We start from the raw sequence: 6,022 nt of genomic DNA on the forward strand, positions 1-6,022 counted from the left end.
TCTTCCATTTTTAGGTCCCTTCCTTATGATTATTCTAGGAGTAACCTTTGGCCCATGTCTTTTCAGTTCCTTCATCCTTTCGTTTCTTCCTGAATAGAATCAATGAAACTAGAAATGTTACTGCAGATGGAACCTCAGATGACTTCAACCAGCACCTATTATCAAGGACCCCTAAACCAGCCTGCCGGCCCATACCCGGACGTTGACACCCAAACCACCTCTCACGAGGAAACCTCAGCTACAGAACCCCTTCTATGCCCCTATTCAGCAGGAAGCAATTAGAGTGGTCATCCTCCCACACCCCAACAGCAGTTGGGCTCTCCTGTTGAGAGAGGGGACTGAGGGGTGGAGTTGGCAGGATTTACTGGGCAGGTTTGGGGACTTTCACAGAAGACCCCTGTGACTCAGTGTTTTGAGTTCTTAACCAATCGAGTGAAGGATTCAGAATTAACCACTCCAGGCCGGGCGCGGTGGCTCACGCCTGTAATCCCAGCACTTTGGGAGGCCGAGGCGGGCGGATCACGAGGTCAGGAGATTGAGACCATCCTGGCTAACCCGGTGAAACCCTGCCTCTACTAAAAATACAAAAAATTGGCCGGGTGTGGTGGCGGGCGCCTGTGGTCCCAGCTACTGGGGAGGCTGAGGCAGGAGAATGGCGTGAACCCGGGAGGCAGAGCTTGAAGTGAGCCGAGATCGTGCCATTGCACTGCAGCCTGGGCGACAGAGCGAGACTCTGTCTCACTAAAAAAAAAAAAAAAAAAAAACAAAAAAAAAAAACACTCCAGAGGAGGATTGAAAAAAGAACCACTCTCAATGGACAAAAAGAAAGGGGAGGGGTAACATAGGGATATGAGCCCTAGCCACCGGAGCCAGCAACGGCAACCCTTCCGGGTCCCCTTCCAGCATGTGGAAGCTTTCCTTTCGCTTTGTTCAATAAACTGCCCTGCTGCTCACTCTCCTGGTCCGTGGACTCTTTTTGATCTGTAACACACACCGCGAAGGTCCACAGCTTCATTCTTCAAAGTTAGCGAGACCACGAACCCATCGGCAAGAAAAACTCCCAACTCACTAACAGCCTAGTCCCTTCCCCCTTAAAGGCTGGTGTCTGTCACCCCATACCTGAGCTGGTCCCTCTTCACTAAGTCAGGCTACCAGCATCTTCCTGCTCCTCCGGCTGGGCCCCTGGAGGAGGAAGCTTTCCAAAGCTCTGTCTAGCCCATGTATCCCTCCAGCAGGAAGCTCCAAGGCCTCCTCTGTACTTTGAGGTCGTTCTGGCCCCTGCTATGCTCCAGGCTCAGGGCTATTACACAAGACACCCAATTCAACTCGGTGGGCTGTTGACACCGTCCCTGTCACTGAATCTTGTCTTCACCCCTGTGATTCTCTGAAGAGCCAGTGAATCTCTGTTAATGTTGGTGGAGTTCCAGCCACTGCACTTTTTTTGAGGCAGACTCACTGTGGCTCCGGCTGGAGTGCAGTGGCATGGTCATAGCTCATGGCAGCCCCCAACTCCCGGGCTCATGTAATCCTCCCACCTCAGCCTCCCGAGTAGCTGGGACTGGAGGCGGGAGCCACCATGTCGGGCTAATTGGTTTTTCTGTAGAGATCGGGCCTCCCTAGGTTGCCCAGGCTTACTTAACACTCTTGAACGTCAAAACCCACGCTCAGTACCCGCTTCAAGTGGAAGTCGGTGTTGAGATACAAGCATAGGAACGAACTCAAGGCTAACAGCTGTTCTGTATTCAGAGCCGCACAATCAAGGAAAAACACGATCGGAGGCGGGCCCTGGACGGGAACAAGAAGGGTGGGCTTGACTGGGCGGCCCGCGGTCTTGGTTCCCCTTTCTTCCTTCTGGCTGGCCGGCCGCAGGGTAGGGGGTCCGTGGACCTCCCGGCCTGTAGGGGGCGTCGGGCGCAGCGGAAGGGCCTGCTCCGGAGCCTGGCCAGGGCTGCGCAGTCATGATCACCGAGACCGCGGCGGAGCCTACGGTCCCTGCAGTGCCTGCTGCTGAGGAGGCCACCGAAGCTCGGGGACGCGAGGAGCCGGCGTGGCCCTGGGTGAGCCCAGGCCCAAGCGGGAACGGGCGCGGGGCGGGCGGCGCAGACCCAGGGGCGCGGGCTTCATGCCCCAGCCGTGCCCCCTGTCCCGCAGAAAGACGCCCCGATCCGGACGCTGGTGCAGCGCATCCACCAGCTGCAGGCTGAGCGCGCGCAGGGCTTCCGCCGACTGGAGGAGTGAGTGGGGGCGCGGAGGGGCTCAGGGTTCGGTCCCCCGCCCGCTCCGGGCGTGGGCGTGTTCTCGGCGGGCGTGCCTGGAGGAGGAGCTGGGTCCTTGTGTGGCTGCAGAGTCAGATGGGGCGGGGATTTCGGGGCACCGGGTCCTCACCTTCACGAAAAAGGCCCCACAGCACGTCCCCACTACCCGACGACTCACTCTTCGTGGCTTCTCTCTCCTCCCCAAGAGCAGGGGTGGGCCTGTCTCGCGTTCCCCTGCGGGAGTCAGGAAGCGTCCTTCCTACCTACCAGTCCTCCCCTCTGGTGTCTGGGGACACTTCCTGGGGGCCTTTCAGGTGGTTGGCGCCGGTGCAGGGCCTGAGAGCCTGGGGGCGCGGCCTCAGGGTCCCCACATGCCGCAGAGGCCACCGCCAGTACCTGCGCAGCGGCCCTGACTACGACTTCGCGCGCTACCGGAGCACAGTGCACGGGGTGACCCAGGCCTTCGCCGCCGCCTCGCGGGAGGTGCTGGCGGTGGAAGCAGAGCTGGGCGGGCCTCGCAGGCAGCCGCTGCTCGCCGGCCACGTGCGCAGCCTGCAGGAGCTGGAGCAGACGCGGCTGGGCACGGTGAGGCCACCACCCCTTCCCCGCCGTGTCTCTAGGACCCTGGCCGGCTCCTCTCATGACGCACCCCTGGTTGGGGGGTGGTCCCAGTATCCCATACACAGACCTCACCCCTTCCTGTCCCACCCCAATCCTCTATTAAGGCTTCACTTGGGGATTCTCGGACCTTGCCCTCTGCTGTTCATCCCCAATTTTTTTCCCAAGTTTTGTCCTTATTCCCAGAGCACTCCCGCTTTCTCCCAGCTCCGCCTAAATGCTATTCCAAGATGCCCAGATCCCGCCCCAACAATGCTCCACCCACTCTGGTTGTTCCGCGTCTAGGGTCCCACCCTCAACCTCCCGTAGATACAGGCGAGGGGGGTCCCAGGCCACGCCTCCTCCGTATTATTCCTCCATCACAGCTTTAGTTCTTTGCCTATTTCTCTCTTGCGATCCGCCTGCTCGGCCCTGCAACCGTGTGTGACTGGAATTCCTAGGCCACGCCCCCCATGAGCGACCCGTCTCAGCGTCTCTTTGGCCTTTTTCTTTCTGGTGTTTTTTTTTTTTTTTTTTTTTTTTAAGACAGGCTCTTGCTCTCTTGCTCTCTCACCCAGGCTAGAGTGCAATGGCGCGATCTCGGCTAACGGCAACCTCCGCCTCCCAGATTCAAGCGATTCTCCTGCCTCAGCCTCCTGAGTAGCTGGGATTACAGGCATAATTTTTGTATTTTGTATTTTTTTTAGTAGAGACGGGGTTGTGCCATATGGGCAAGGCTGGTCTCGAACTCCTGGTCTCAAGCGATCCGCCCTCTTCTGCTTCCCGAAGTGCTGGGATTTCAGGCGTGAGCCACCGCGTCCAGGCTTTTTGGCCTACTTTTATCCTGGGTCCCCGTCCCTGGGACCATGAGGCGCAACCTAACCCACCCCTACGGCCAATGCCTGGCTAAGACGTCACTGTTGTTCCCAGGCCACGCCCACATCGCGCTCAGCACTGCCTCTGGCCTGCCTGCTGTCTCCTTTCTGAGAGAGCCTCTAAACTGAATTTCGGACTCTTCCTACACAAAGCACTGCCCCTCGTGGTTCTACCCGGGCACTGCCTTTCTGGGTGCCTCTGTTTTTTCCTGAACATCCTTGGAGGGCAGGGGGTGGGTTCTGCTCGTGGAGACATCCTTCGTGTTGCTCATTCCCCCACCAGGTGGCCCTGCTGCAGTTGATGGAGACGCCAGAGCTGGCGGGGCAGGAGGACGCTGTACGGATGCAGCAGCTGAAAATGAAGTGAGCGCTGCTGCCCAAGCCGCCTGGCTATGCTCGATTTGCACCAGGGTTGGCACGGTCAGGACGCTGCCAGCAGAGGAACCCTCTGCCAGTGCACAATGGTGTTCTCACCTGGTGGCCCTCAGATGTACACTTCCCCAGAGGGCACAGCCGTGAAACTTCACATCAGTTTCGCTGTGCATTGCTGGGACACTGCTGTATACCTCGACACATGCCAATCCTGCACACGTGGCTGTCCGTGGAGCTTGGACATGCCCCACTGAGCACAGACCTTCAGATGCCTGTCCTCAGCCCCCAAGCACACACACTCATGTACACACACATTTGACAAAGTCACACTTCATAACCTCCTAATGGTACACACCCCACCAAGATGGCCTTTTCTTTTCTTTTTTTTCTGAGATGCAGTCTCACTCTGTCACCAGGCTGGAGTGCAGTGGCGCGATCTCAGCTCACTGCAACCTCCGCCTCCCGGGTTCAAGTGATTCCCCTGCCTCAGCCTCCTGAGTAGCTGGGACTACAGGCGCGTGCCACCACGCCCAGCTAATTTTTTGTATTTTAGTAGAGATGGGTTTCACCATGTTGGCCAGGATGGTCTCGATCTCCTGACCTCGTGATCTGCCCACCTCAGCCTCCCAAAGTGCTGGGATTACAGGCGTAAGCCAGCACGCCTGGTCCTTTATTTTCTTTTCTTTTTTCTTTCTTTTTTTTGAGATAGAGTCTTGCTCTGTCACCCAGGCTGGAGTGCAGTGGTGCGGTCTTGGCTTACCGTAACCTCTGCCTCCTAAGTAGCTTGGATTACAGATGCCCGCCACCATGCCTGGCTAATTCTTGTATTTTTAGTAGAGACGGGGATTCGCCATGTTGGCCAGGCTTGTTTTGAACTCCTGACCTCAGGTGATCTGCCTGCCTCAGCTTCCCAAAGTGCTGGATTACAGGCGTGAGCCACCATGCCCAGCCCAGATGGCCTTTTCTCTCAGCCCACTGTGACCTATGGGGCCACCCCTTCTCCCTAGCACCTAAGTGTTCCCTCTTGCTGCTAGTGCTGCCTGGAGGTTTGGCGGCGGGCAGGAGGGCCTGGGGCTCACCACAGCCACAGCCCTCTTGCAGCTTCGCGGCAGCAGCTAATTCACCCCATCTGGGTTTTATTTATAGTTCCCATCCGCTCTTGTAGGGTAATTAAAACCATGGAGGCGATCAGCGAGGTTCTCCAGGACCTTAGGTTTGATGCGGAATCTGCCGAGTGATGGCGGCTCCCCAGGGATGCGCCGAGGGAGATGGGAAACGGGGCGGATGGCGCCCAGCCCAGCCCTAACTGCCAGCTGGCTGGGGTTGCGCCCCACTGCGCTGCTGACCTTCCTGCAGTTCCAGACACCTCCCACAATAAAGAGCTCCTCCTCTGTAGCCGCTCTGCCATCTCTGTGTACAAGGGTGCTGCAGCCAGTGTGCCTAGGGAGGGGGCCCCCACAGGGCCAGGGATTGTGGGTAGAAGACTCCCACCCTCCCTAGAAACTGAGGTTTTTTTGCTTGAGACAGGGTCTTGCTGTGTCACCCAGACTGGAGTGCAGTGGCGAGATCGTGGCTCACTGCAGCCTTGACTTCCCCAGGCTCAAGCAGTCCTCCTGCCTCAGCCTCCCAAGTAGCTGGGACTACAGGCACATGCCACCACAAGCCCAGTTAATTTTTTTTTTTTTTGAGATAGAGTTTTGCTCTTTTTGCCCAGGCTGGAGTACAATGGTACGATCTCGGCTCACTGCAATCTGCACCTCCTGGGTTCAAGTGATTCGCCTGCCTCAGCCTCCTGAGTAGTTGGGATCACAGGCATGCACCACCACGCCCAGCTAATTTTGTATTTTTAGTAGAGACGGGGTTTCTCCATGTTGGTCAGGCTGGTCTTGAACTCCTGACCTCATGTGGTCCACCCATGTCAAC

General features: G+C 57.5%; 1 protein-coding gene across 3 annotated transcripts, besides 2 other annotated features; it reads left to right on the forward strand.

The window, feature by feature from the left end:
- Nucleotides 1,783-2,302: a silencer, noted in NCBI's record as "silent region_10409". NCBI's record gives its function as "represses an Ori minimal core promoter by ATAC-STARR-seq in GM12878 lymphoblastoid cells {active_cell/tissue: GM12878}" and the evidence as "EXISTENCE:reporter gene assay evidence [ECO:0000049][PMID:35858748]".
- Nucleotides 1,955-5,494, forward strand: REX1BD (required for excision 1-B domain containing). Of its 3 annotated transcripts, none has more exons than NM_001100418.2 (5): nt 1,955-2,057; nt 2,152-2,234; nt 2,570-2,840; nt 4,011-4,090; nt 5,265-5,494. In NM_001100418.2, the coding sequence occupies exons 1-5, from the start codon at nt 1,959-1,961 to the stop codon at nt 5,335-5,337; spliced, it is 606 nt and encodes a 201-aa protein (NP_001093888.1). In that variant the 5' UTR covers nt 1,955-1,958; the 3' UTR covers nt 5,338-5,494. The 3 variants fall into 3 exon arrangements, with proteins under 3 accessions (NP_001093888.1, NP_001093889.1, XP_047294982.1); NM_001100419.2 differs by having other exon boundaries at nt 2,636-2,840; XM_047439026.1 differs by lacking the exon at nt 1,955-2,057 and having other exon boundaries at nt 2,151-2,840.
- Nucleotides 4,806-5,329: an enhancer, noted in NCBI's record as "H3K4me1 hESC enhancer chr19:18702459-18702982 (GRCh37/hg19 assembly coordinates)". NCBI's record gives its function as "activates a minimal SCP1, AML or CMV promoter by ChIP-STARR-seq in naive H9 embryonic stem cells {active_cell/tissue: H9 hESC(naive)}" and the evidence as "EXISTENCE:reporter gene assay evidence [ECO:0000049][PMID:30033119]".

The sequence above is a fragment of the Homo sapiens genome, chromosome 19 (genome assembly GCF_000001405.40).
Source record: "Homo sapiens chromosome 19, GRCh38.p14 Primary Assembly".
Classification (NCBI taxonomy): domain Eukaryota; kingdom Metazoa; phylum Chordata; class Mammalia; order Primates; family Hominidae; genus Homo; species Homo sapiens.